We start from the raw sequence: 1,284 nt of genomic DNA, 5'->3' as shown, positions 1-1,284 counted from the left end.
AAGGTGGAAGCATTTGTCCAGAACATGGAACCAGAAGACAAGCCCCATCACAGCCAAGACAAGCCCCATCACAGCCAATGCTGCAAAGTGCAGACAGAGGTTGAGGCTCAAATTCCCTAAGAAAAAAGGCTTCCTACTCCCAACAGTGCCTGGGTCAATGACACTTTGAATTCAACCTCAAAGCATCTATAGGTGATAAGAATTTCCAGTCCTAGAATTTTGAGTTTCAAGGATTTCAATTTCAATTTCAAGGATTTTTTCATGTGGTCTTTCAATCATGGTCAAGCTGTCTATACAAATTTTGCATCAAGAAATTATCGCCAAATCTCCAAAGGCTAAAGATTCCAGATTACTTTTTCAGCTTAATAAGTGAGAAAAGAATGAAGGCAACGGTGTTTCTATTACAATCTAAAGCTCTAGAGAAAACAAGGATCCCTAGAGGAAAATCTTGAGCAATTGCAGGGTCTTAAGTGCTTTGTGTCTTTCTGAAGGAAAGACACTTGAGGTTTTTAGGTGCGCCTGCAGTGCCTATTTGTTGCCCAGACAATAAGCAGTTTGAGCGACTGTGCTCAGGCCCCTGAGCATTTCTTCTCTTGACTGCCTGTCTTCTAATCCGCCCCAACCCCAGGAGAGCTTTTCTGAAACCAGTTGCTTCCTCTCCAGCTGGGAGGTCTTGGTGCCCAATGTCTTTGATTCTGCCCACAAGGGGCTCAGCATCCAAGCTAGGAGCCTTGTCATACGCATCCTGTCACTGTTTTTTTTCTTTTTTCAAACCATGATCAAAAGTAAGAAACTTATTTTTAAACCACAACCCAGCCTGTGACAGGCATTTAAGACAAAAACGAAAGTTTCAGCAAATAATACTCATGCGTACTAGGGGCATTTTGATGTCACAGCCCGCAAAATTGATGTTATGGTTCCAACAGGTGTCAGCCTGCAAAATGAAAACTGCTCGGTGTTATCAAGGATCACAAACATTCCTTTAAAATGTATTTATTTAGCAATTACTTAGAGAGCACAGGGCATGTGCCTGTGTTAACTGTTGTATGGGGACAGGGAAGAATATGGAAGTCTCTCCCCTCAAGCAGCTCACAATTGACATGGAGAGGCATAACTGATATGTAGGAAGATGTAAATAGCAATGCCTAAGAGATTGGTGTTCAGATGGAGCATGGGTCTGTGCAGTAGAGATACCAGGAGGGAGAGGTGGGGAGGGGCCTGCACACTGAGGAGGTTGGGAAAGCTGCAAGGCAACTGTTATCATCCTTGGGGGAGCTGTAACTC

At 43.6% G+C, this 1,284-nt stretch overlaps 1 annotated feature.

Moving 5' to 3' along the window:
- Positions 274-812: an enhancer, noted in NCBI's record as "NANOG hESC enhancer chr8:20350867-20351405 (GRCh37/hg19 assembly coordinates)". NCBI's record gives its function as "activates a minimal SCP1, AML or CMV promoter by ChIP-STARR-seq in naive H9 embryonic stem cells {active_cell/tissue: H9 hESC(naive)}" and the evidence as "EXISTENCE:reporter gene assay evidence [ECO:0000049][PMID:30033119]".

The sequence above is a fragment of the Homo sapiens genome, chromosome 8, assembly GCF_000001405.40.
Source record: "Homo sapiens chromosome 8, GRCh38.p14 Primary Assembly".
In the NCBI taxonomy this organism is placed as follows: domain Eukaryota; kingdom Metazoa; phylum Chordata; class Mammalia; order Primates; family Hominidae; genus Homo; species Homo sapiens.
This window is presented reverse-complemented; position numbering and strand designations above follow the sequence as displayed.